The sequence below is a fragment of the Homo sapiens genome, chromosome 8 (genome assembly GCF_000001405.40).
Source record: "Homo sapiens chromosome 8, GRCh38.p14 Primary Assembly".
NCBI classification, from domain to species: Eukaryota; Metazoa; Chordata; class Mammalia; order Primates; family Hominidae; genus Homo; species Homo sapiens.
In genome coordinates, this window is record NC_000008.11 from 63,058,409 (window position 1) to 63,086,053 (window position 27,645).

At 38.0% G+C, this 27,645-nt stretch overlaps 1 protein-coding gene across 9 annotated transcripts; it reads right to left on the bottom strand.

The window, feature by feature from the left end:
* Positions 1 to 27,645, bottom strand: TTPA (alpha tocopherol transfer protein). Of its 9 annotated transcripts, none has more exons than NR_182150.1 (6): positions 27,410 to 27,645; positions 18,045 to 18,179; positions 14,527 to 14,680; positions 7,496 to 7,689; positions 5,798 to 5,908; positions 1 to 3,017 (listed from the first exon to the last, which is right to left on the bottom strand). NR_182150.1 is itself a non-coding variant. In NM_001413418.1 (6 exons), the coding sequence occupies exons 1-6, from the start codon at positions 27,611 to 27,613 to the stop codon at positions 2,844 to 2,846; spliced, it is 954 nt and encodes a 317-aa protein (NP_001400347.1). In that variant the 5' UTR covers positions 27,614 to 27,645; the 3' UTR covers positions 1 to 2,843. The 9 variants fall into 9 exon arrangements, 6 of the variants coding, with proteins under 6 accessions (NP_001400347.1, NP_001400345.1, NP_001400343.1 ...); NM_001413418.1 differs by lacking the exon at positions 18,045 to 18,179 and adding an exon at positions 10,622 to 10,738; NM_001413416.1 differs by lacking the exon at positions 18,045 to 18,179 and having other exon boundaries at positions 1 to 3,768.

Consider the following 27,645-nt stretch of genomic DNA (forward strand, 5'->3'; position numbering starts at 1 on the left):
TTTATGTGAAAGATGTTTATTTTCTTTCAAACAATATTAAAACAAATAAATTACGTGCAGTTGAGTAACACAATGAGCACATAATACAGTTAACCTTTTAAAAGGCACTTCTGGCATAATCACTAAAGTAATATAGACAATTAGACAATTATTTGCTTTGACACTTTATTAATTTGACCATTCATTTCAATTTTCTTTTAATGTTCTTCAGTGAATTGTTTCATTTATAAACACTTCAAAGTTCCATCATAAAATATGCCTAGATTAACTGACTTATCTTAATTCTATTTACTATGGAACCTATCACCAAAAAAATCTAATTTAAAGGACATTTTAAAATGTTATCCTTTATTTGGGTACTAAACTAATCACTCCTCCACAGAGTCATAAGAAAGTGTTTGAAATAAACAAAAATAAATGAAGTGGAACTGGTGATTGATATAAATCTTCTAGAAACAAAAGTTGGGTAAGCCAGAGGTTTTTTGTTATTGACACTGTTTATTCTTTTTAAGTGATTTTGTTCTTTTATTATTTTTAATTATACAATTTTAAATAGTATGCTTTTATTTTAAAATACTTTAAAGTGTTTTTTAGAAAACAGGCAGGGTCCAGTTTTTTTTTTTTTTTTTTTTTTTTTTTTTGAGACGGAGTCTCGCTCTGTCACCCAGGCTGGAGTGCAGTGGCGGGATCTCGGCTCACTGCAAGCTCCGCCTCCCGGGTTCACGCCATTCTCCTGCCTCAGCCTCCCAAGTAGCTGGGACTACAGGCGCCCGCCACTACGCCCGGCTAATTTTTTTGTATTTTTAGTAGAGACGGGGTTTCACCGTTTTAGCCGGGATGGTCTCGATCTCCTGACCTCGTGATCCGCCCGCCTCGGCCTCCCAAAGTGCTGGGATTACAGGCGTGAGCCACCGCGCCCGGCCCAGGGTCCAGTTTTTTAATAAAAATTATAATGTTGTTAGCTTCCCAATACTAAGTCAAAATCAAAACACGTTCTCTAAAGAACAACCACAATTACTTTCAATTTTATCATAGATATATGTATAATCCTAAGTATCAGCTCACCTGATTAAACTAATTTTCTTATAAAGAAAAACACCCTTCACATATCCTTACATAAAGATACTATTAATGTATATGATTAATGTTGAAACCTAACTAGCTGAACAAATGTTCAACAGATTTTGGACCCCATATTCTACATTTTCAAGTTTATAACAAAATTAAGAAATTATAAAATACTAAGTATAAAACTTATGTCATAAATTGAGGGCTATGTTGAATTTGAAAGCTGAGATGATATCTTTCTTAATAAATGAAATATTATAAACTGCAGTAGAAACAGTACATCTTTACCGGTTATTTATTTATTTATTTTTATTTTTATTTTTTAATTTTTTTTGAGAACACATGGACACAGGAAGGGGAACATCACACACCGGGGCCTATTTATTTATTTTTGAAATAGAGACAGGGTCTCCCTGTATTGCCCAGGCTGGTCTAGAACTCCTGCGCTCAAGCAATCATCCATCCAGCCTCGGCCTCCCAAAGTGCTGGGATTACAGGTGTGAGCTGCCACACCCAGTCTTTACCAGATGTTTTTTTAAGTTAATATAAATTGCAGGATTTGATTAAAATATTCTGATACAATAGTCAAACTCATATTATTTTATGCATAATCTGAAAAATACCAGATGTAATTGACAGTAATTTTTTAAAATGTAAACATTTCCTTTCCTTTGTGTAGTTACGTTATTGTTAACTAAAAACAGTCCATGTATAAGACAAGTAAGTATGATTCCATCCCTTTCCGTGTAGTCATAAGAATGACCATAAGCAAAAGTTAAAATTACATTCTTGATTTGTTTAAAAATGCAAAGCAGATATTGAGAAGCCATCAACTGTGCCTGACGTATTTTCTAAATTATTTTTGTTAATCAATTACATCAACATGATTTCACAGAGACCTAAAGATGCCACATAGAGTAGTATGGCATATAGACTCCTCAGCTGAAAGTTTCTATCACGGCCAGGCGCGATGGCTCACGACTGTAATCCCAGGACTCTGGGAGGCCGAAGCAGGCAAATTACTTGAGTTCAGGAGTTTGAGACCAGCTTGGCCAACGTGGCAAAACCCCATCTCTATATAAAATACAAAACTTAGCCAGGAGTGGTGGTGTGCACATGTAATCCTAGCAGAGGTTGCAGTGAGCTGAGATCTCACTACTGCACTCTAGCCTGGGCGACAGAGCAAGACTCTGTCTGAAAAAAAAAAAAAAAGTTTCTATCGTGTTAATATACTAAAATAAAATTTCCCTGAGATGAAATGTCTTGCTGGTCCACAGGAATAACCATAAAACTCTATTCAGATTTTAATTATAATGAATTATAATTTAATCTGACATCCACTTAAAACAAGTGTTAATTTTTTTATCATTAGCTGACTTGTGCTAGTATTTTTAAGCGGAATATTTCTAAATTTTTTTCTAAACCAATTTAATCAGAGAACTTGTTTAAAATATAACTTTCTAGAAACATACAAAGATGCACATGAGCAGCTACTTTAGCAATAACTTTCATGTTCTCTTCAAGTACAAAATCGCCGATTTTTATGCTCTTAAAATGTACTGACATTTAATTACTTCAAAAGTAGAGAAAAAAGCATTTAAAAAGTAAAAAATCTTTCCAAACACCTGTGTTGCTCATGTCAGAAGATTTCTACATTTTTAAAGTTCAGGCAAGCATTAGTTTAAAAGATTTGCTCCTTTTCTTTCATTCATTTAACCAGGTTGGATATCACTCATGTATTTTTAGTTAGGAAGCCATTCACATGACATAACTTCTCATTGAATGCTCTCAGAAATGCTGCTGAGATAATCTTCAGACTTCATTATAAAATTTGTCCATTCCTGACAAATGTCCTCCATGGAGAATTCTTCACCACCATATTCCAGAGGAAGAATGTCTGGGAAATGCTGAAGCAAGCTTTGTTTGTAGTTGTTCCCATGCATGTGAATCTGAAATAGCCAAAACACTTTAGAAGGAAACCGCATTAGATGCATTTCCAGTGGAAAATCAACCTCATAAAACAAGGTATTCTAATAACTTCTAAAATGGAGTGTATAAATAGATACCACATCCTTTATTCCTCTGGTTATGAATCTAATAATTTTACTTATGTTTAGGTTGTATTACTGTGGATCTAATAACCTTACTGTTTCTTGGATTTGCATTCTTATAACTGCATAAAATTTATAAAAAGTTATTTTCCTCTTTCATAAGTAAATTTTTAAAGATTAAATAAAGTTATTTTATAAATTCTATTCCCTTATGTGCAAGTGATTCTTACCAAACTAATACCTTGGGACTATTCTATACACGATAAAAATGTACTAGCTGGTACTAATTCATATTAAGTAGAAGCATATATCTGAGCACACAATTAAATCTATGAGAAACAATTTATATGGTACAGTCGATGGATACTGTTAGTTAGTATAAAGTTAAGAGACAGCCGGGTGCAGTGGCTCATGCCTGTAATCCCAACACTTTGAGAGGCCAAGGCAGGTGGATTACTTGAGCTCAGGAGTTCAACACCAGCCTGGGCAACATGGCTGGTACAAAAAAAATACAAAAATTAGCTGGGCGTGGTGGTGCAGGACTGTAGTCCCAGATACTTGGTGGGCTGAGGCAGGAGGATTGCTTGAGCCCAGGAGGTGGAGGTTGCAGTGAGCCAAGATCGTGCCACTGCACAAAGTGAGGCCCTGTCTAAAAAAAAAAAAAGAATTAAAAGAATTAAAAAGTCAAATTTTAAAAAAGTATTAAAAAACAATTATGATAGTTGAGAACCTTAACTTTTCAAATATTTTAAACTATAAAATTGATCATAGAATGCCCTGAAGTTAAGAGAAAGCCGTAGAAACTTGAACCAAAAGCATACCTGCTAAAATAAATAAATAACCTTTTTTCACTTTCTAGGGCAAAATGTTCCTCTATGTATTCAACAATCATTTAATAAGCATCTATTATGTGCTGGGATATGAGGTTTGATGGATGAAATGAGTTTCCTATACTCACTTAGGAAACTCACAAAGCCAATCTTTAATTTTTTCTGAAATATGTAAAATATTATCAGGTAATTGAGAAGAAATTCTATCTCCTCAGGAAGGGGCAAAATAAGAAAATGTATGGGGCATTGCCAAAAAGTTAAAAAGGAAAAAAGTGGCTGGATCAGAGTTTTTTTCTCCCTATTTTGGCAAGTCTGTTTCCCGTCAACTAACTTTCACTGACATCCTTCCCCTAACTTCTCAACTTTTTACTTTTGCTTTTTTCTCCATATTCTCCTATTTCTTAGGTTCAGTTTATTCTTGTTTTTGTTTTTATCTAAAATATTACTCAAAATAGAAATAGTTATTTTTAGATCTCTAAGAATTAAACAGAGGGAAGCCAGATATTATCAAGTTACACTGAAGAGAGAAAAAAATGAACAAACAAAATTGATTTGTATAAAAATACTAGAATGAAAAGTAGCTGAAAGTGGCCATTTTTGCTAAAGCAGGCAATTTAAGGGTGGTTCTTGAAGACAAACAGAAGCATCCACTGCATAACCTCTAAAGAAGCTCTAGGGTCATAACTTTCTGACCAGGTATAAGATGTTATATTTTCTTAATATGAAAGAACATCGTTTCTAAAATTCCAAATGTGCTATTACAGTTTATATTATCACTGCTGACATTTCAGTGATTTTTTAGATTTAAACTGTTAAAACCTTTACAAATTGTTTTGTGTTCAAGGCATTAGATGATGCCAATGTTTGTCTAAATAGATGCTCTAAAAATTCTTCTTTACAGATTAGTTTAGAATGGTTGCCATTCTTGAGAACGCAGACTCTATTTTCAACCTTTCAAAAAGTCTAAGATATATGAGATGCTTTTTCTGAGATAAGGCTCCATAGGCTAGGTAAAGAAGAAAAAATCCAGTATCTTTGCTCTAACTAGCATGACATTAAGTCATATACCTCAGTTACCGTGGTTCTCAGTTACACTGAAACCGTTAAGTAGGCTTCACTGTTTAAGAAAAATGTTTATTTTTATTTGCATTAATAATAAATTCATATGGTTACAAATCAAAACAAGATAAAAGATACACAGTGAGAGATCTTGCTCCCAAACCTATTCTCATCTACTGTAGTTCACACCTCTTCTCTTGTTCCCTATAGATATCCACTTATATTATTTTTTGTATATCCTTTTAATGTAAATTTATGAAATATATTCTTATTTCTCCCCTTTGTATACAAAAGGTAGCATGCCATAAACACTATTCCACATTTTGTTTATTTCAGTTTACAAAACATCCTGCAATCTCGTTGTTTTCTGTTGTGTAGATGTTTATTTAACCAATGCCCTAATGGTGAACACTTCCTGGTTTTCAGTCTTCTGCTGCTGTGACTCCTCTAGCATATGTAATTTTGTTTAGGTATAGGTAATTCAAGACAGTGATTTTGATGTCTTTGCCACACTGCCCTCTATAGGAATATACCATTAAGCATTCCAACCAGCAGTGTATGAAAAGCCCAGTTACCCCACAGTCTTACAACCAATATACTTGATTTTTATAAATTAAAAGTAAATTTTAATTTACTTTTTTTTAGTTGGCTTGTTAGATAAATATTCAAAATATTGGGCTAATGATATAGATGGGCAGGTACGAGGAAAGATGATAAAGCAATCCTTAAATTAAAAAGGGTTGGAATGTTTGGTGTAGAGGAACACAGACTTGAATATATTTTACTCACCCGTTCCTTAATTTTTTCAGTCAGGAATGGTTTGATCATGGAAAAGACAGCATGGAAAATTACTGGTTCATTTATCAAATGGATGCCACGAACTTTCAATGGAAATGAATCCTTTTGAAAATAAAAAAATCTTAATAACAAAACATAAATATTACAATCTGATACCTAATGTCAAGTTTCTTCTTTGAACACTTGCTAAGCTTATGGAAATATCTAAAGTGTGTGATTTTATCTTCAAAATTATTTATTCCATCAGCACAAAAGCCTGGCTTACAGTTCACTGTCACTAGATTAAGTAAAGATCTCTAAAAAGGTTTCTCCTTATAGATTTGGCAAAGTATTTTACAAAATATCTGCACACTTTCACCAGAAAATTCCTTTCCCATCACATATAGATGTTCTTTTAACGAACCAATGAGTCATTTGGAAATTTATATTTAACTTTTTCCCAAAAAATGTTTATTTTGAGAAAAAAAATCACAAATATTGAAAGACTAGCACAATAAACACACACTTTTAAACTTTGACATTGGTATATGTCTTTAGCATCAAAGTAATATAGGCTTATTTAGAAAGTTTAAGAAGTTAAGAGTTGAAGGAAAAAGATGGTTTTCCTACCTACAAGTTGTATTATTAATACAGAGACCTTTCATTCCAAGGTTCTTTTATGTGAAGTTCTTTTATTTTTTCCATGCATCACTTTCAGAGATGTATTATTAATTTGGGGATTGTCCTTCCAAATCCCTTCTATGCATAATTTTCTTTTAAACATAATTGCTAATATACTTTCTAAATAATTTTCATCCCGTTGTGTTCCACTGATACAATACAGCTTTTGCAAATATCATGTTTTATTATTGTTGCAAGAATCCATCAAATGAATGTACATTTTTTAAGTAACCATGTTTCTATTTTCTGGACTAATAAACTATTTATTTTACTTCTTTACTGAAATTGATGCTGCAGTAACTGTCTTTGTGTATAGGAGAAGTGGTGGTTATAAGCACGACTTTTACATTCAGGTGACCTGGGCTGGAATTCTCACTTCACTACTGGCAAACTGTGTGTGCCTGGGCATCGCTATGTCACTTCTCGGATATAGTTTATTAATTGTAAAGTGGGAAAATACAATAGTCATATGTCATAGGCTCAGTGTGGACATTAAAAGATAATGCATTTGAAACACTTAGCAAAGTACCTGGCACATAGTAAGCTATTATTATTATACGCAATCTTTAATATATTAAAGATTATTCCTTAGCTAGTTTCCCAGAAATAGAATTACTGAGTCAAAGATGATGACCACTTTAAAAACCTTTTGGAAAAAAAAGATATCAATATACACCTACCAAGACTTATGTGACATTTTATTGTTCCATTGATATATTATATTTTTTAATCAATTTTTAATTTAGGAAAAAAAGTTAATGACAAAAAGATAAAGTCACCACATATTAAGATGCATAAATCCTCTCGTTACTAATTTGAACATATTTTTGCAGTTTGTTGCAACATTTTTTCTTTTATAAACTAATAACATTTTACTTCCTCTTAGCATTGTTGAATTCTACACATCATTTCCAAAATTGTATTTAAATTTCTAACAAATGTACTTTTGCTTCTCTTTGTCTAACATATAACAAAATTTAAAACTATAATTTGGAAGTATTATGCCTGACAGTTAAAATATACATTTACCGTAAGTACAGCAGCAATCTTCTTGGCTACGGATGGAGTGATTTGAAAAGCATGAGAAAACTGCCAACCTTCCAGATCAAAGATAGCCTTGATTCCATTCCGCTGAGTTTCTACCTCCTGTACAATAAGCTCGGATGTGATTAGACTTACTCGAAATACGTCATAAGCTGTAAAAACTTTGGGGTCCCAGTGTGCTAAAAAAAATAAAGCATATCATATCTTAGCATTGTGTAAAAAATCAGAAAGATTTCCAAAGGGAGACTAATTCATTTTATTCTTAAAAGATCAGTTGAAATAAAAACATCTACAAAGATCAAGAATTGATTAATAAATCCAACTGGCGTCCAAGAACATGTGCCTGCTTCTCCCTTCCTCCTCAAATTCTAGCAAAGAATGGCTTTTAAAGAGTATTGCGGAAAAAGGAATGGACACAGGCTGAATTTGACTGCAAGATGAAGTCACAACCTCACATAAAGATGGGAATGCCATTGTGTATGCTCCAAGCTCAGAGATGTTGGAAATGGAAAAGCAAGGGCCTGGATTATAAAGAGTAATTAGGGCCCCATAGTAACTAAAGAGGTTGCTAAGAGAAATGCATGAGGAACAGGCAGGCAAGTTGATCCTCTGACAGCCTTCCAGTAGTAAGCAGCACATAGCAGAGTCATGTCCCTGTAGGCTAGAGCAGGAATTGAGGGCTTGGGAAAGAAGAGCCACGGAAGCACTTAGGTAGCTGCTCACACCAAAGAGAAACAGGGAGTACCTGTGCTAAGACAGGAGTTACTGAGATTCTTGTTCACTCATCTCATCCCTTCCCACCACCCCAGGACAGGCCACGCCATGCAGAAATGACAGTAATGGATGGACAAGCAGATAATCTTTTTTAAAAGACATCTATTCCTTAAAAATTAGAATATTAAACACATCCATACACACACAAAGAGAGGGAAACCAAACTCAATAGACAAAGGCATCAACTCGAGAAAGTAAGAAAGCAGGAGACACTAAAAAACATAATAGAAGCCAGGTGCAGGTGCAGTGGTAGGTGCCTGTATTTCCAGCTACTCGGGTGGCTGAGGTGGGGGGAGGGGGAACACTGAAGCCCAGGAGTTCAAGTCTAATCGGGGCAACATAGCAAGAACCGGTCTGTAAAAAAATTCAAAGAATTTTTTTAAAGAAGCGTAATAGTTTCAGCAGGGGGTGGGGAGAATACTATAAGCTATTATTATAAAAACAGGCTATTATTAAAAAGACTCCATTGAGATATTAGAAATAAAAAGATAAGTTTTTTAAAAAACATTCATTGATAAGATAAATGCTGGAAAAGACAGAGCCAATCGAGGAAAAATGGTTTGGAAGATCAAGTTGAAGAATTCTCTCAAATTTGGCACAAAAGAGCCAAGAGTTGACATGTATGAATAGAAAGGTAAGAAATACATGCAGCTGGATCCAGGAGTTTCAACATCCAACTAATAAAAGTTCTAGAAGGCAGTAACAGAAAACAGAGGAGAGAGGAATCATAGCAATAGAGAAAAGTTCTCCAAAGCTGAAAAAAAAAACATGTAAGTCTTCAGACTGAAGTGCCTAACAGGATGAACGAAAAAGAAAAAAAAATCATAACTAAGCAATAGTAAATTTTCAAAAAAAAAAAAAAACAACAAAAGTTCTGGCATGGGAAACTGGATAGAATTGTGGCACCATTTATTTATTTATTTTCAACTTTTATTTTAGATTCAGGGGGTGCATGTGCAGATTTGTTACCTTGGTATACTGCATGATGCTGAGGTTTCAGGTATAAATGATCTTGTCACCCAGGTATGTGAGCACAGTACCCAATAGGAAGTTTTTCAACGCTTGCTCCCCTCCCTCCCTCTCCTCTCTTGTCATCTCCAGTGTCTACTGTTCCCATCTTTATGTCATAAACACCCAGTGTTTAGCTCCTACTTATAAGTGAGAACATGTGGTATTTCGTTTTCTGTTCCTGTTTTAATTCACTTAAGATAATGGCCTCCAGCTGCATCCCTGTTGCTGCAAAGGACATAATGTCATTCGTTTTATGGCTGTGTAGTACTCCATGGTGTACACGCAGTACCATTTATTGAGATAAGAGACCTGTTTGGGTGGAAAAGATTATAAGTATGGACATGTTAAAATGGTGACCATGAGACATCCAACTGGGTGCAGCTGGAATAGCAGCTAGTTGTGTGGGTCTGGATCCTCAAGGAAAAGATGGGAGTGAAGATACAAATCTGGGGGCTGTTTGTGCCTACATGATGATCCACAACAGGGATTGTCTCAGAGCTATGTTTTTCTCTATCAAAGCAGAGAGATGAAGTAACATAAAAAGAAAAGGCTGAGGCCAATGTCCTAAAAAAATTCAGAGTTTAAAGGATGAGTAGAAGAGGAAATGCCAGAAAAAGAGATTAAGGAGGAGCAGCCAGTGATGTCAGAGAAAAACACCAAGAGAACATGGCATCAGAGAAGCCAAGGGAAGAGGATTTTTCAAGAAAGCAGAAGTGATTCACTTTGTTGAGAGGTTAAGTGAAATAGGACTAAATATGTCCATTAAATGTGGTAAAAAGAAAGTCAATAATGGTTGGTTACATTCATTTCAGCAGGGATGGGAGTGAAATCAAACTAGGGTGGGCTGAGGAGGAACTGTGAGAAAATGTGGATGGTGGACATCACTAACAAAGAGAGGGGAGATAGATGTAATGAAGGAGGGAGAGTTTTGTGGAACGAATGAGGAGTTTTTGTTTTGTTTTTAGTGGCTGGCCCTTAACTGATTTAAATGTTAACTGGTAGCATGTAGTAGCAAGAGAAAAGTTGAAGATCTAGAAAAAGAAAGAATAAACAGAAATATTCCTAAGAAGCCACAATGGGATTGCTATTTTTTAAAAATTTTTATTTTCTGTCATATTAATGGATCCTTCAGGAGGTGTGTTAGTGTTTTTTAAAAGCCTCAGATTTCTGGCCGGGCATGGTGGCTCACACCTGTGATCCCAGCACTTTGGGAGGCCAAGGTGGACAGATCACTTGAGGCCAGGAGTTCAAGACCAGCCTGGCCAGCATGGTGAAACTTCATCTCTACTAACAATACAAAAATTAGCTGGGCATAGTGACACACACCTGTAGTCCCAGCTACTTGGGAAGCTGAGGCAGGAGAATCGCTTGAACTCGGGAGGCAGAGGTTGTAGTGAGTCGAGATGGCCCACTGCTCTCCAGCCTGGGCAACAGAACAAGACTCTGTCTCAAAAAAACAAAACAAAACAAAACAAAACAAAAAAACAAGCCTCAGATTTCTCATAAGAATTTGAACAATCAACCCATGGATAACCCAGATCAAAAATACTATACTAACTTCAGACATTGGCTGAATGCTATAATGATTAAAAAAAAAAAAAAGAACATATGAAGTTTGCCAATCAAAAAAATAGTTTATGTCCTAAGTTCTGAGCCAACCAACATAATTGTTTGGCCTACACTGGCTAATATGGTAGCCATTAGCCATGTGTGGTCATTCAAATTTAAATTAAAGATTTAGTTTCACCAGGTGCAGTGGTTCATGCCTAGAATCCCAGCACTTTGTGGGTCTGATGGGGGAGGATTGCTTGAGGCCAGGAGTGAGACCATCCTGGGCAACATAGTGAGAATGCATCTCTAAAAAATAAAAATAATAAAAAAACTGGCTGAGTGTGGTAGCACATGCCTCTAGTCCCAGCTACTCCAAAAGCCGAAGTGGGAGGATCACTTGAGCCCAGGAGTTCAAGACTGCAGTGAGCTATGATTGTGCCACTGCACTCTAGCCCAGATGGCAGAGTAAGACCCTAGCTTAGAAAAAAAAAAAAAAAATCTGTTTCTTAGTTGCAGTAGTCACATTTCAAGTGCTCAATAGCCACATGAGAATAGTGTCTATTGTAGAACAGTTTCATCATCATAGAAAGTTCTATGGTACAGTGCTGGCTAGAATTTAAGCTCCATTGAGGCAAAAGAAAAATATACCTTATATTTTGAATTCCTTCTCCAGTATCTACTTAATATGTATTGAGTGCTTTTATGTACCAGGTAATGCTCTTGTTATATTTTAGATAGACAGACTGATAGATTGATTTAATGCTTACAGCAACCCTATGTGACAGCTTTTCAATGTGCCCATTTTACAGATGAGAAAATGCAGTTACAGCTACATAGTGTTTCACACAGCTAGAATGTAGCAGAGCTGAGATTCCAATCCAGGTCACATGCTCCAGAACCTGTATTCACAAGAACTAAGCCACAGTCAAAACTTCACACTCACTGTTAAATTTTACTTTTGCTGCTAGTAGTATACTATGGGATCTCAAAAAACATAAAATTATATCCTACAGCATGTTGGCTGATAAAGGTCAAAACTTAGCTTCACCTTGGGTTGCCCGGCCCGCATGGAGGAAAGGGCTGTGTGCATTTTCTCATTGCTTTTACTGCACAGAGATGGTATCTAGAGAAGGTGGTTATGCTAAAGTTCTACCGAAAAGTTCCACCACAGATTTCCTTCTTTAGCTCCTCCCATTAATTCAATCAAATTTAGAAAAGTTTTCATTTTACTCATAAAACTTTCTGAGTTTCTCCCTTTCATCCTAGAATAACAGAACATACAGGAGATTTGCAACATACCTTCCTGTTCTGACCATCACTAAGTTACATGTTTTCTTGATTTTCAAATCTCTTGAGTTAAACAATATACTTCTAAATTAATGTGCTACATGAGGCCCAGAAAAATACCCCTACTGGTTCAGTGTTAAGGTATTTATGATCAAAACTGCACATCTGCTTTCTCACTATCAAGGTGTCACTTTTACTTCTTCACCTGCCTCAGTCACTTTATGAACAAACTAGACACAATAAAATCTAGCCAGACAATGCAGAGCCAAGACATTTACAAAAATAATTAGCTGCAGGTTTCAGTTTTATGTTTCTTGGATCCCTGAGTAGAGTTGCCAGGTAAAAATATACAACACTCAATTAAAGTTGAATTTCAGATAACCAGTATATAATTTTTAACATAAGAATGCTCCATACATACTTTAAAAAAACTGTTGTTTATCTGAAATTCAAATAACTGGGCATCCTTTATTTTTATAACATATAGGTTTATTTCCTAAATAAAACATAGGTACTTTGTTAAATCTGGCAAGACTACCCCTAAGAAGCTCAAGGAACTTCATTGCTATGAGCTCATTCAATTTCCTCTGACACTGGTGCAGCAATGAAAGAACAGGAAGATCATGATGTCTGTTTTATAGATGGGATTTCATGATTAACTCAATTTTATTTGACACTTAAGCTAGGGCAAAAAAAATTAAAAAACAGCCCCAAATCATTTTACTCGATCTTCCAATATCCTTTCAAAAATTAAATACAGTAACTTCTTGCAGTATGGCAAGCAGTTGAGTTACAGGCAGGTATCTTATCTATAAGCAGGCAAGAAATGCAAATATTTAAATATTTTAAATCTTTAAAGATATAGTTGTTTCTGTAAAATTATAATTAAAAAATTCTGGTCATGAAATGTTGGTTTATCTTTGTCCTTCAACTGGGCCATGAGAAATTCTGGGAATAGTGTGAGTCGTTCTCCTGTGCCGGCCATTTTTAATCATATGCAGGTCTGAGGGAGGACAGAAGTTATAGGTCACCAACTGCTATGATCTGAATGTTTGCATCCCCTCAACAGTCATATGCTGAAATTCTAACTCCCAAAGTGATGGTAGTAAGAGGTGGGCCCTTTGCAAGATGATGAGGTCATGAGGATGGAACCCTCATGAATGGGATTAGTGCCCTTATGAGTTCCAAGAGAGATGCCTTTTCACTTCCAACATGTGAGGTTAAAGTGAGAGATGTCACCTAGGAACCAGGTAGCAGGCCCTCACCAAACACCAAATCTGCCAGTGCCTTGATCTTGGATTTCCCAGCCTCCAGAACTGTGAGAAATAAAATTCTGTTTTTATAAGTCACCCAGTCTACGTCATTTTGTTATAGTGGCCTGAATACACTAAGACACCAACCTACAAGAAACACTAGCTACACCTAATAGAAAAAAAGGGGATGCAATGAGAATAAACAGGAGTTAATGGAATACCGTGTCTGCAACAGCTCCCAGAGGAGTTGCCTTTCCTCTGCACCCTCCTCCACCCAAGAGAATGAGCCTCTTGCTCCTCGGCCTGGGGCATTTTCGAACTAGTCATTCACTCACTCATTCCACAAATATTTAGTGACTACCTACCAAGTACCAGACCATGTTTTCAGTGCTTGGGATACACCAGCAAACAGAGTAGATGAAATCCACAATCTCATGGAGTTTACATTATAGCCCAGAATTCTGGTTGTTTTTTGTTTGTTTGTTTGAGACGGACTCTTGTTCTTTTGCCCAGGCTGGAGTGCAATGGCGCAATCTTGACTCACTGCAACCTCTGCCTCCCAGGTTCATGCAATCCTCCTGCCTCGGCCTCCCGAGTAGCTGGGATTACAGGTATGCACCACCACACCCAGCTAATTTTTGTACTTTTAGTAGAGACGGGGTTTCACCATGTTGGCCAGGTTGGTCTCGAACTCCTGACCTCAGCTGGGATTACAGGTGTGAGCCACCATGCCCAGCCAATAGTTCAGAATTCTTATTTGCACTTCCTACTAAGCATTTTTGAAACACTTTTCCATGATTTTTTAAAATATTCTCACACTATTCATCTTCACTATTTTCCTTTCTTCTTATTTTGTACAGTTGACTGTGTGGAAGAATGGAACTAGGATTTTCACTTGTATCTGTTAATTTTCTCACAATTACCAAAGTGTTATTATATTTGGGGGACATTAAGACCTAAATTAAATCTAAGTTAAAACCTAAAATTTTAAATTAAAGCCCAAATTCCTAAAGATGAATGCATTGAAGCTTTCTATATGGTATTCAAGGAAGAAATGGAAGAAAGAGAGAAGAGGAGAGGGGAGGGAACACAACTGAACTGGAGGAGAGGAGAAAAAAAAAAGAGTTGTGTATGACTTACCGATTCTGTAAATAAGAACTTTGCTGCCAGTGGGATCCCTGGATCTCAGGACTCCATGGTAGCCAGCCTTTAGGAGGCCAATAATACTTCTAGGGTGTAGATCTGCACTTATTTCTGGACATTCTGCTCTCCACTTATAATAGTTTTTTAGTAACTGAAAAATAAAATTAAAATTGTCTACAAATGGCATACATGGTAATGATTTTGTAAAAATGGAAGAAAAGCTTTGGCATTGTGTATAAACTTTGCCATCCATTATGTCAAGAGTTTAATCTAGGGTATCTTTTCAGCTGTGAAAACTGAAAGTTCTTTTATCAAGGATCTGAGGTGACAGGGGTTAATCACAAATTCAGAGCTGAGCAACTTTCATTCACCACCCATGGTAGATATCCTCCAAAGACAGCCACCAATTCCTCCCCTCCTGATACCCATGCACCATTCTTCCCATTAAGAGATGGCATCTATTTGCTTCACTCCCCTTGAATCTAGGCTGGCCTTCCACCTTGCTTTGATCTAATATCAACTGGCAGAAGTGATACTGTGTGGGCCAAGCTTTAAGAAGCCTGGTACCTTCTGAATGTACTATTTGGGATCCAGACACTATGTGAGATTACTGAATGATAGCAATTCATGTGGAGAGAGGCATGGAGGTTGAGAGGACATCCTGGATAGTGTGACCTCAGCCAAGTTCCCATCTAATGCCATGTGGAACAGAGATGAACCACTCCCACTGAGCCCTGCCCAAACTGGTGATATCAAAAACAAATAAATCATTGTGTTTTCAGCCACTAATTCTTGGAGTGACTTGTTGCTCAGCAATAGAAAGCTGAAACACCACTTTTAGTATTTTTTGAAATAAGGAAGTATAGAAATCAATCAAATGAGTTAGAAGAGCCCAGGAGCAGTATACTTGGATACTGGATCTTGTCAAAATATGGTCTGAAGAAATCCCATTTTCTTTCTTTCCAAAAGAACCACCGGAAATAGCTAATCATATACGCAAACATACAAACACTACCAGCATATTGTGGAAAATACTAAAGCAAATTATGTATTTAAAAATTATTATATTTATATTTTAATTTTATTCTCATGATTTTTGGCACTCTCAATTTTTCACAAGTTACAATACATTTGTTTTGAGTTTAAAGAGACTTATTAATGTGAGACTGCAGTGCAGAGAAAATGACAGATTTTATATTTGAGAGTAATTGGAATAAACAAGGTAACTATAACCACAAAAATCACAATGATCTGGAGGAGAAACTACAAACGACAAAAACTAGAGAGGGAAATGCTGAGCCTTGGGAAATGTTAATGGCTGGGAATGGCTGGAGGAAGACAGAAACTGAGTGGACCTGAAGAGAACCAGCACTGGTACACGAGAGGGAGGACAGTGCCATCTGCATTGCTCTGCTCCCCCTCACCCCCATCTCTGATTTATCTCCCTCTCTTTCTCTCTCTGTCTGTCTCCCTCTATTTCATTTCTGTATTTAATAAACCTTTCTTAACTTTGAAAAAAGAGAGAATGTTGCTAAGAGTTAAATGCAAGAGAGGAGTAAGAAAGAAAAAAGTCAATTTGCCAACAAAGAAATAATTGGTGACCTAAATAGCAGTTTCCAAAAGCATGAGAACAACAGGCACATTGTAGGTCCTAATATCTTCATTCTACTCTACACGGTGCATTTCTCTTCCTCCTCCAGTCTTAGGGGGTACCAGAATAACTGTTAACAGTATTTTACAATGCTTTTTACTTTTCTGATAGTTTCCTCAGACATAAAAATCTTTTTCATTCCAATTCAAGTAAAATGCTGGAAGCTGCACATTAGTAACTATATAGAAATAATGTGTTTTTTTTTCCTGTGGAATGATAAAAGTTGTGGCTTCATTAGAAGGGATCATTTAGGTTTAATACTGGCAGGGGCCTCAGCTTATTCATCTCTGCAGAGTGCTGCACACCCAGGAGATAACAACACGTGTTGAATGAAAGAATAAATTAAGTCATGAGTAAACCAACTGGAACCACACACTTGAAAAACTGACTTCTGTAAAGAGGCACAAATCACTATCTCGCACAATTTTTGCAAACTGAAAGATCTAAACCTGGAACTTTGGTCTTTACTTATCCACTGATACATAAATTCACAGTATAGCTGTCATAAATAAATTATGTAAATAAACTGCTACTGAGCAATTCTCAAACAAACCACCCTATGTCCACAACAACAACAAAGAAGTGGCTAAAAATAAATATTCATCATTGGAAGGTGTCTGTTTTGCAAACATTAGAAGTAAATAAACATTTAAAATGTTATGGGTTAACTATGTTTTGTAACAGAGTAGGTTTCTTCTTACATGTTTCATGTACTTTGAAACAAAATAAGAACCACCATATTTGGAGCACTTTTATAGGGTCTAATGCCATCTTTTGAATTCCTCCTCACCATCACCCTGAGAAGTAGCTACTGTTGTGGCATTATAAGAATAAGAAAAGTAAAGCTCCAGCCAGGCACAGTGGCTCATGCCTGTAATCCCAGCACTTTGGGAGGCCAAAACGGATGGATCACGAGGTCAAGAGATCAAGACCATCCTGGCCAATATGGTGAAACCCCATCTCTAAAAATACAAAAATTAGCTGGGTGTGGTGGTGCGTGCTCAGGAGGCTGAGGCAGGAGAATCGCTTGAACCTGGGAGGCGAAGGTTGCAGTGAGCCGAGATTGCGCCACTGCACTCCAGCCTGGGCGACAGAGCCAGACTCCGTCTCAAAAAAAAAAAAAAAAAAAAAAAGTAAAGTAAAGCTATGAGAAATTACACATTTGTTCAAAGGCAATAACTATCAGGAGCAGAGTGGAAACTGAAATGGACACATGATATGAAAAATTTTATAAAAGAAGCTGCATTTAGAGAGAAATTAGCAGGGAGAATCTATGGAATTTGGAAAGCTTTGGGAAAACCATAAAGATAATTATAGCATAAAAAGCTTATCACATGGAACAAAAGTATAAGGAACTAGGCTATCACTTGATATAAGGAATTCATGAGACTATGTAGAACAGGCAGAGAAGTGAATGGTTAGCTGTTTTATATGTTTGTTGTTTTAAATATAAGAGGCAAGTGCAGTGTATTTGACAGCGCAGGCTCTCTCCTGAGCCCAACCCAAATTCAAATCCCTGCTTCAACACTTAATGGCTACATAATTTCAGACAAGTTACTTACTCTTTATATCTGTTTCTTCTAAAATGAGAAAATAATAAAAGATAATCCATGAAAACCCTACTTACCAAAGTATGTTGCATTCTATAAGCACATTAGCTATTAGGATTATATAATAAAACCTTATTAATTCATCATAACTTCAAATACAAACACTAGAATAATGAGAAATTTCATTGTGACTGAGGCACTTATCAAGCTTTCTTTATACAAAAACTATAGGGCTTCTATATTATGAATGAAGAAGTTAGAGTTGAATTAAGTGCTATTGCAGAGGAAAATGAAAAAAAGTTTTGCACTCTTACCCTTTCCTTTTCCTTTCCAGTTGGCAGAAAAGCAAGACAAAGAGTTCACAGACAGAAACTTGATTTCTATGCGGTGGATTTAGACACAGTCCTGCTAGCCAATTCCTCAAGGGCATGGTACAATGAAAACAATTCCTTATTTAAGGAATACAGAAAAAAATATATTATGTCCCAGAGGCTGATGGTCAATTTTATTTTTCTATTTAAACATTACTTTTTTTAAAGCAGCTAAAATGAAATTAGTAAATGAAACATGTTTTATTGTTAGTTATCTCTATACATATATATGTTTAATGCCTCATTTAAGCTTCATTCTTCATAGGACCTGAGATTGTGTTTTCATATTCAGTAGTTACTAAGTACATATTAGTTTATTACTCATGATATTGGGATACTTATATAGCCATCTAAAAAATGAAAATAAATAAAGTTGGATTCCTATTTTACTCCTAACATAAAAACAAATCTCAATAGATCAAAGACCCCAACATAAAAAAGAGAAGACACAAATAACTAGAAAAAATTTTGGACAAGAGAAGAGATTATAAAACCCAGAGGCAATCAAAGACTAATAAAATCAATTCATTTGATTACATTAAAATTTAAAATTCTGCACAGAAAAAAATAGTATAAGTAATGTAACAGATAAAAATCAAGGACAAAGGCCTAAAATATATAAAAAGGCCTAAAATACATAAAAATATTTTATAAATCAGTAAAACATAAAAATGGGATCCATTCCAAGATGGCCGAATAGGAACAGCTCCAGTCTGCAACTCCCAGTGTGATCGATGCAGAAGATGGGTGATTTCTGCGTTTCCAACTGAGGTACCTGGTTCATCTCACTGGGACTGGTTGGACAGTGGGTGCAGCCCATGGAGGGTGGGCTGAAGCAAGGCGGGGCATTGCCTCACCCAGGAAGTGCAAAGGGTTGGGGGATTTCCCTTTCCTAGCCAAGGGAAGCCATGACGGATGTACCGGGAAAAACAGGACACTTCCACCCAAATACTGCACTTTTCCCAAGGTCTTAGCAACTGGCACACAAGGAGATTCTCTCCTGTGCATGGCTTGGCGGGTCCAACACCCATGGAGCCTTGCTCACTGCTAGCGTGGCAGTCTGAGATCTAACTTCAAGGCGGCAGCCTGGCTGGGGGAGGGGCATCTGCCATTGCTGAGGCTTGAGTAGGTAAACAAAGTGGGCCAAAAGCTCGAACTGGGTGGAGCCCACTGCAGCACAGCAAGGCCTACAGCCTCCATAGACTCCACCTCTGTGGGCAGGGCATAGCTGAACAAAAGGCAGCAGACAGCTTCTGCAGACTTAAACGTCCCTGTCTGACAGTTCTGAAGAGCACAGTGGTTCTCCCAGCATGGCATTTCTGCTCTGAGAATGGACAGACTGCCTCCTCAAGTGGGTCCTTGACCCCCATATAGCCTAACTGGGAGACACCTCCCAGTAGGGGCCGACAGACACCTCATATAGGCAGGTGACACTCTGGGACGAAGCTTCCAGAGGAAGGATCAGGCAGCAATATTTGCCGTTCTGCAATATTCACTGTTCTGCAGCCTTCGCTGGTGACACCCAGGCAAACAGGGTCTGGAATGGACCTCCAGCAAACTCCAACAGACCTGCAGCTGAGAGACCTGACTGTTAGAAGGAAAACTAACAAACAGACAGGAATAGCGCCAACATCAACAAAAAGAACATCCACACCAAAACCCCATGTGTAGGTCATGAACGTCAAAGACCAAAGGTGGATAAAACCACAAAGATGGGGAGAAACCAGAGCAGAAAAGCTGAAAATTCTAAAAACCAGAGCGCCTCTTCTCCTCCAAAGGATCACAGCTCCTCACCAGCAATAGAACAAAGCTGGATGGAGAATGACTTTGATGAGTTGACAGAAGTAGGCTTCACAAGGTCAGTAATAACAAACTTGTCTGAGCTAAAGGAGCATGTTCAAACCCAACACAAGGAAGCTAAAATCCTTGAAAAAAGGTTAAACGAATGGCAAACTAGAATAAACAGTGTAGAGAAGACCTTAAATGACCGGATGGAACTGAAAAGCCTGGCACAAGAACTTTGTGATGCACGCACAAGCTTCAGTAGCTGATTCCATCAAGTGGAAAGAAGGGTATCAGTGATTAAAGATCAAATTAATAAAATAAAGCGAGAAGACAAGGTTAGAGAAAAAAGAGTAAAAAGAAATGAACAAAGCCTCCAAGAAATATGGGCCTATGTGAAAAGACCAAATCTACTTTTGATAGGTGTACCTGAAAGTGATGGGGAGAGTGGAACCAGTTGGAAAACACTCTTCAGGATATTATCCAGGAGAACTTCCCCAACCTAGCAAGTCAGGCCAACAATCAAATTCAGGAAATACAGAGAACACCACAAAGATACTCCTCGAGAAGAGCAACCCCAAGACACATAATTGTCAGATTCACCAAGGTTGAAATGAAGGAAGAAATGTTAAGGGCAGCCAGAGAGAAAAGTCGGGTTACCCACAAAGGGAAGCCCATCAGACTAACAGCAGATCTCTCAGTAGAAACCCTACAAACCAGAAGAGAGTAGGGGGCCAACATTCAACATTCTTAAAGAAAAGAATTTTCAACACAGAATTTCATATCCAGCCAAACTAAGCTTCATAAGTGAAGGAGAAATAAAATTCTTTACAGACAAGCTGAGAGATTTTGTCACCACCAGGCCTGCCTTACAAGAGCTCCTGAAAGAAGCATTAAACATGGAAAGGAACAACTGGTACCAGCCACTGCAAAAACATGCCAAATTGTAAAGACCATCAATGCTATGAAGCAACTGCATCAATTAATGGGCAAAATAACCAGCTAACATCATAATGACTGGATCAAATTCACACATAACAATATTAACCTTAAATGTAAATGGGCTAAATGTCCCAATTAAAAGATACAGAGTGGCAAATTGAATAAAGAGTCAAGACCCATCAGATGTCTATAGCACATCTCACATGCAGAGACACATATAGGCTCAAAATAAAGGAATGGAGGAATATCTACCAAGCAAATGGAAAGCAAAAAAAAAGCAGGGGTTGCAATCCTAGTCTCTGATAAAACAGACTTTAAACCAACAAAGATCAAAAGAGACAAAGAAGGTCATTATATAATGGTAAAGGGATCAATTCAACAAGAAGAGCTAACTATCCTAAATACACCCAATACAGGAGCACCCAGATTCTTAAAGCAAGTCCTTAGAGACCTACAAAGAGACTTAGACTCCCACACAATAATAATGGGAGACTTTAACACCCCACTGTCAATATTAGACAGATCAATGAGACAGAAGGTTAACGAGGATATCCAGGACTTGAACTCAGCTCTGCACCAAGCAGACCTAACAGACATCTACAGCGCTCTCCACCCCAAATCAACAGAATATACATTCTTCTCAGCACCACATCACACTCATTCTAAAATTGACCACATAATTGGAAGTAAAGCACTCCTTAGCAAATGTAAAAGAAAAGAAATCACAACAAACTGTCTCTCAGACCACAGCGCAATCAAATTAGAACTCAGGATTAAGAAACTCACTCAAAACCGCACAACTACATGGAAACTGAACCACCTGCTCCTGAATGACTACTGGGTAAATAATGAAATGAAGGCAGAAATAAAGATGTTCTTTGAAACCAATGAGAACAAAGACACAACATACCAGAATCTCTGGGACACATTTAAAGTAGTGTGTAGAGGGAAATTTATAGCACTAAATGCCCACAAGAGAAAGCAGGAAGGATCTCAAATCGACACCCTAACACCACAATTAAAAGAAATAGAGAAGCAAGAGCAAACAAATTCAAAAGCTAGCAGAAGATAAGAAACAACTAAGATCACAGCAGAACTGAAAGAGATAGAGATACAAAAAACCCTTTGAAAAATCAATGAATCTAGAAGCTGGTTTTTTGAAACGATCAACAAAATTGATAGACTGCTAGCAAGACTAATAAAGAAGGCCGGGCATGGTGGCTCACGCCTGTAATCCCAGCACTTTGGGAGGCCAAGGCAGGCGGATCACGACGTCGGGAGATCAAGACCATCCTAGCTAACACGGTGAAACCCCGTCTCTACTAAAAATACAGAAAAATTAGCTGGGCGTGGTGGCGGGCGTCTGTAGTCCCAGCTACTGGGAGGCTGAGGTGGGAGAATGGCGTGAACCCAGGAGGCAGAGCTTGCAGTGAGCCGAATCATGCCACTGCACTCCAGCCTGGGTGACAGAGCGAGACTCCGTATCAAAAAAAAAAAAAAAATAAATAATAATAATAATAAAGAAGAAAAGAGAGAAGAATCAAGTAATCAAATAGACACAAAAAAATGATAAAGGGGATATCACCACCGATCCCACAAAATACAAACTGCCATCAGAGAATACTATAAACACCTCTATGCAAATAAACTGGAAAATCTAGAAGAAATGGATAAATTCCTGGACACATACACCCTCCCAAGACTAAACCAGGAAGAAGTTGAATCTCTGAATAGACCAATAACAGGCTCTGAAATTGAGGCAATAATTAATAGCCTACCAACCAAAAAAAAAAAACAGACCGATTAACAGACAAATTCTAACAGAGGTACAAAAAGGAGCTGGTACCATTCCTTCTGAAACTATTCCAATCAATAGAAAAAGAGGGGATCCTCACAAACTCATTTTATGAGGCCAGCATCATCCTGATATCAAAGCCTGGCAGAGACACAACAAAAAAAGAGAATTTTAGATGAATATCCCTGATGAACATCGATGCAAAAATCCTCAATAAAATACTGGCAAACCGAATCCAGCAGCACATCAAAAAGCTTATCCACCAAGATCAAGTTGGCTTCATCCCTGGAATGCAAGCCTGGTTCAACATACACAAATCAATAAATGTAATCCATCAGATAAACAGAATCAATGACAAAAACCACATGATTATCTCAATAGATGCAGAAAAGGCCTTTGACAAAATTCAACAGCCCTTCATGCTAAAGACTGTCAAAAAACTAGATATTTATGGAACGTATCTCAAAATAATAAGAGGTATTTATGACAGACCCACAGTCAGTATCATACTGAATGGGCCAAAACTGGAAGCATTCCCTTTGAAAACCGGCACAGGACAAGGATGCCCTCTCTCACCATTCCCATTCAACATAGTGTTGGAAATCCTGGCCACGGCAATCAGGCAAGAGAAAGAAATAAAGGGTATTCAATTAGGAAATGGGAAGTCAAATTGTCCCTGTTTGCAGAAGACATGACTGTAAATTTAGAAAACCCCATCGTCTCAACCCAAAATCTCCTTAAGCTGATAAGCAACTTCAGCAAAGTCTCAGGATACAAAATCAATGTGCAAAAATCGCAAGCATTCCTATACACCAATAACGGACAAACAGAGAACTAAATCATGAGTGAACTCCCATTCACAATTGCTACAAACAGAATAAAATACCTAGGAATCCAACTTACAAGGAATGTGAAGGACCTCTTCAAGGAGAACTACAAACCACTGCTCAACAAAATAAAAGAGGACACAAACAAATGGAAGAACATTCCATGCTCATGGGTAGGAAGAATCAATATCATGAAAATGGCCATACTGCCCAAGGTAATTTATAGATTCAATGCCATCCCCATCAAGCTACCAATGACTTTCTTCACAGAACTGGAAAAAACTACTTTAAAGTTCATATTGAACCAAAAAAGAGCCCACATTGCCAAGACAATCCTAAGCAGAAAGAACAAAGCTGGAGGCATCATGCTACCTGACTTCAAACTACGCTACAAGGCTACAGTAACCAAAACAGCATGGTACTGGTACCAAAAGAGATATATAGACCAATGGAACAGAACAGAGGCCTCAGAAATAACACCACACATCTACAACCATCTCATCTTTGACAAATCTGACAAAAACAAAAAATGGGGAAAGGATTCCCTATTTAATAAATGGCGCTGGGAAAACTGGCTAGCCATATGTAGAAAGCTGAAACTGGATCCCTTCCTTACATCTTATACAAAAATTAATTCAAGATGGATTAAAGACTTAAATGTTAGACCTAAAACCATAAAAACCCTAGAAGAAAACCTATGCAATACCATTCAGGCCATAGGTGTGGGCAAGGACTTCATGACTAAAACACCAAAAGCAATGGCAACAAAAGCCAAAACTGAGAAACGGGATCTAATTAAACTAAAGAGCTTCTGCATGGCAAAAGAAACTAGCATCAGAATGAAGAGGCAACCTACAGAATGGGAGAAAATTTTTGCAATCTACCCATCTGACAAAGGGCTAATATCCAGAATGTGCAAGGAACTTAAACAAATTTACAAGAAAAACAACCCCATCAAAAAGTGGGTGAAGGATATGAACAGACACTTCTCAAAAGAAGACATTTATGCAGCCAACGGATACATGTAAAAATGCTCATCATCACTGGTCATCAGAGAAATGCAAATCAAAACCACAATGAGATACTATCTCACGCCAGTTAGAATGGTGATCATTGAAAAGTCAGGAAACGACAGGTGCTGGAGAAGATGTGGAGAAATAAGAATGCTTTTACACTGTTAGTGGGAGTGTAAATTAGTTCAACCACTGTGGAAGACAGTGTGGTGATTCCTCAAGGATCTAGAACTAGAAATACCATTTGACCCAGCAATCCCATTACTGGGTATATACCCAAAGGATTATAAATCATGCTGCTATAAAGACACATGCACACGTATGTTTACTGCGGCACTATTCACAATAGCAAAGACTTGGAACCAACCCAAATGTCCATCAATGATAGACTGGATTAAGAAAATGTGGCACATATACACCATGTAATACTATGCAGCCATAAAGAAGGATGAGTTCATGTCCTTTGCAGGGACGTGGACGAAGCTGGAAACCATCATTCTCAGCAACTATCACAAAGACAGAAAACCAAACACTGCATGTTCTCACTCAGAGGTGGGAATTGAACAATGAGAACACTTGGACACACAGTGGGGAACATCGCACACTGGGGCCTGTTGGAGGGTGGTGAGCTGGGGGAGGGATAGCATTAGGAGAAATACCTAATGTAAATGACGAGTTGATGGGTGCAGCAAACCAACATGGCACATGTATATCTATGTATCAAACCTGCACATTGTGCACATGTACCCTAAAACTTAAAGTATAATAAAAAAAAAAAAGAACAAAAGCAAAAACAGGCCATTTTCAGTTAACTGGAAAGAAATTTTGAAATTTTACATGTATATAAAAGATTATTAATCACACTTAAATAAATGCATATTATAATAACAATGAAAAAGTATATCTCTTTTAGCAGGTTTATACACAAATTGTGTTTGATAATACAGTGTGGGTTATGGAGGAAAAGGCAAAATCATGTAATATCAGAGTGATGAGTTATAGAGTTTTTTTTCTTTTTTTTCTTTTTTTTTTTTGAGACAGGGCCTCACTCTGTTGTCCAGGCTGTGGTGCAGTAGCACAATCTCGGCTCTCTGCAACCTCCACCTCCTGGGCTCAAGCGATTCTCCCACTTCAGCCTCCCAAGTAGCTGGGATTACATGCACGTGCCACCACACCTGGCTAATTTTTGTTATTTTTTGTAGAGATGAGGTTTCACCATGTTGCACAGGCTGTTCGTGAGCTCCTGAGCTCAATTGATCCACCATCCTCAGCCTCCCAAAGTGCTGGGATTGCAGGCCTGAGCTACTGCGACCTTTGGAAGGCACTGAAAACTCTTTGGAAGACAGTTTGTTATATTACTCAACACTGAAAAATACACATCTAATTTCATCCAGCAATTTCACCGGTTGAATTTATCCTGTAAATTTATATTCCTATTTATGCACAAAGTATGAGGACATGAGGAATGCCCAGTCAGTGATGGAAGAAACCACAGCCGCCTTGTTGACTGCATCTTGTGTACTACTAGGCAAATTGTAGAGTCCAAAAAATAATTGTTGAATGAAGGAATGAACAGCAATAAGCCCTAAGTCCAATAACAGGTTAGATACATTTTAATATAGTCTAATATATCCATCCAGTAGAATAACAGCAGCCCAATAAAGAGTAAGATGGATGTATACCAGTTGATATGGGATGCTCCTAGTTCAAAGACAGGTAAGAAAGGCAAAATAGAAATCACACACAAACATGCTTGTGCAACCTCTGGCTGTTTAAAAAGATAAATGAGTAACACTAACCAGCCTCTGGGTATGTGACTGACAAACTAAGGTTTGAGGTAGGGAGCTTTTTTCCTTTAGAAAGTTACTGTTAGAAACTTACTTTTCACGTTTTAGGATTTTGTGTTACCTAGATTATTTTTACCATAATTTTACTTAAGTTAAAAACAACCTCAGGCTGCTCTGTCTCTATGGAGTAGCCATTCTTTTGTTTCTTTACATTCTTAATAAAGTTGCTTTCACTCTAAAACAAACAAGAGAAACCCTCAAAAACCTCATACTGAGACACACTGGAATTTTGTACTATAATATCTTTCCTGCTAGGCAGCTGTGTGACACTGAACAAGCCACTTAGAGAAAGGGCTAGATCTGGTCGAACTGCTGAATGCTTACTGTGTGCCAGGCACTGTGCTGGGCACAGCTTGTTTTGTTAAACTGGTTAATGTTCAATCTTCACAAAAAATCAATGAGACAGGCATTTCCATCATTATTTAACAGATAAGGACACCAAACCTAAAGTGACAGAACTCAAGGTCGCATCCCTCTTTCTGATTCCTATCTTTCCATCACCTTTTCTTTCAGTGAGCTGTAACATACCAGAAACCAAAAGAACTGCCCGACTACAACCCAGACTCGAACTATACTGGGTTGCTTTACTGTCTTGACACTTAAGTGTTACTAGTAATAATACTATGTTGCTACTATATGGCTTCAGAACTTCAGTTTTACCAGCAATTTCATTTTCCCCGCTATACGTAGTTAATCTGGTCACGTGTGATAAGTCTGAGCTTCCAACTTGTAAGCTGTTACTTTGTTTGTACCACAGGCTTTCCTGCAGGGAGAGGAAGGCATGTCCCCCAAACTTTGTAGGTTCAGGAGACTCATCTAGCGCAGGAGTTCTCCATGCTTGAGATCAAATGGGCCATTATCCCATGACTCCAACACTTTCTAGCTTTGTCGTTTCCATGACCCAGAGAAACTGGAGGACCAGCTCTGGATTCTCGGAACATCTACAGCCTCAGCGCCCACGCCGGGTGGTTAGGGGCGCGTTACCCGCCAGGGTCCTGCCTGCACCCTGGGCTTCGGCAGGGGTCAGATATCCGGGGTCGTGGGGCGGGGGACGGGGCGGGTGAGGTGCGCACTGCCGAGCGCCCTGGGCACGCACGCTTACCCGCCAGGCCAGGTCCAGATCGAAATCCCGGGCGCGCAGGAACCGCAGCAGGAAGGAGTCGGTGAGCGGCAGCGGCGCGAGCGGGACGCCAGCTTCCCGGGCCCGGCGCCGCAGCGCCGCCAGGCCCGGCTGCAGCAACGGAGAGTGGTCCGGTAGCGCGTTGAGCTGCGGCCCCGCCGAGGGCTGGGATCGCGCCTCTGCCATGCCCGCCGCCGCTGCTGCGGCCGCAGCTACCC

Bases quoted from the DNA above. Each gene is read 5' to 3' on its own strand.
- TTPA (NM_001413418.1), bottom strand. From the start codon at position 27,613: ATGGCAGAGGCGCGATCCCAGCCCTCGGCGGGGCCGCAGCTCAACGCG. The intron at 5,909-7,495 runs GTAAATGTATAT...TATTTTCAAAAG, and splicing joins AGATTGCTGCTGTACTTACG to GATTCATTTCCATTGAAAGT. The intron at 3,018-5,797 runs GTGAGTAAAATA...TGGCTATTTCAG, and splicing joins CTGAAAAAATTAAGGAACGG to ATTCACATGCATGGGAACAA.